This window comes from Homo sapiens, chromosome 2, assembly GCF_000001405.40.
Source record: "Homo sapiens chromosome 2, GRCh38.p14 Primary Assembly".
Taxonomy (NCBI): Eukaryota; Metazoa; Chordata; class Mammalia; order Primates; family Hominidae; genus Homo; species Homo sapiens.
Genome location: NC_000002.12, coordinates 34,365,559 through 34,367,032, shown reverse-complemented (window position 1 = coordinate 34,367,032; position 1,474 = coordinate 34,365,559). Strand labels below are relative to the sequence as shown.

The window sequence follows — 1,474 nt, the reverse complement described above, 5'->3', positions numbered from 1 at the left end:
CTTTTCTGGAAGCATGCAACCAGTATACTCTCCAAGCCTCTCAACATGAATAGCAGCAAAATATTCATTGTCATTCTACCATATCATCATCTCACGAAAAACTTAATGGGCTACAGTGGGTCCTTAATCATTTGGAATAACAAAAATACAGTGTTGAGACTAGAATGCCGTAAAACATGAGTTATGTATAAATGCAATATGTTCATTCTTTCATTGATTTTATTTCCCCTATGGAACATATAAACACCTTCCGTAGGTCTTTGTCAGCTAGATTATTAATTTTCGCTTTAAATTCCAGTGTAGTTTTTGCTAGTCTTAAAAATGCTTGCCTTTGCTTCTGCATATTCCCCTGGAAGGAGATATTATGAATATTTTTTTTTCAATAGAGTTTCCTTGACATTATACTTAGGGAAGGTGATTTCTCCTGTTGATTTCTTTGATATTCATTCCTCATGTGTTTTCTCCAGATACTCTTAGTGTGTTTGCATTTTTCCTTTTCAATTGCATGAAGCCCTGTGATATCGCACAGCCACAGGAAATCTTTCCTACTTCATTTTAAATCATTTTAATTGAATCACAGAGTCAGAACATAGTTTCTCACTGAAGAAATTTCTCCTCATTTTATTATTAGTGTATGACTGCTGAATGCATTTAAACGTAGTTAACGCTGAGGACGATTGTACTGCATTTTCCGTTTTTCTTCCAGTAGTAATACCTCTCAGGATTCTTAAGTCTCCCTGCTTATGATGTGATAGGAGAACGCTTGAGGCTTTTGCTGTAGGCTTTTCCCCAGACAAGGGATTAAACATTGAAGAATGCAGCAGCAGGGGACCCTGCAGGCGTGGTCTCAAATTACACTAGAGGGAATGTAAAATGCATACCCTTCTCTCTCTCCCTCCCAGAAAAGGGCTGTCACCCACCTCCTACAATGATGCTGATTTCTGGTGTAACAAATGCCTAATGATTTGACCCTGACTTTCTCCCATAGCTCTACAAGGCAGAGATAAGTGTGGCCGGGCTGTCATGGTGCAAAGGTTGTGGGAAAAGCAGCAGGAGGCTTTCAAAGGCTTCCAAGGGTCCTGAGTGCTAAAAGTGAGACCAAGTCTTTAATAAGCTAAAATACAAGTTCAATTTGTAACCTCATTTAGTTCTGAAAGGAGGACCTTACCCATAAGGAAAGAACAGCACATTTTAAGGAACCAGGATTTTGTCTGTGTTGTTTTTCTGCCCTTTCAATGAAATATAATTATTCAATGAATAACTAACCTTAACTAGACTTGTGCAAAAAGAAACAGGACCTACAGATTCTTTCCCTGACACCAGGTTCCTACTTCTCATATTCATTCATCAGCATTGCCAACATTGTTCTATCCTGTTTGACATAAGGGGTAATGGTTTTGCATTTATAGAGAAATCTTAAAACTAGGAACCAAAAGAATAGAAGAAATTAGAAATGTTAACTCGAGGATCATCC

The 1,474-nt window shown here is 38.0% G+C and overlaps 1 annotated feature.

Moving 5' to 3' along the window:
• Positions 585-1,160: an enhancer, noted in NCBI's record as "OCT4-NANOG hESC enhancer chr2:34590940-34591515 (GRCh37/hg19 assembly coordinates)". NCBI's record gives its function as "activates a minimal SCP1, AML or CMV promoter by ChIP-STARR-seq in primed H9 embryonic stem cells {active_cell/tissue: H9 hESC(primed)}" and the evidence as "EXISTENCE:reporter gene assay evidence [ECO:0000049][PMID:30033119]".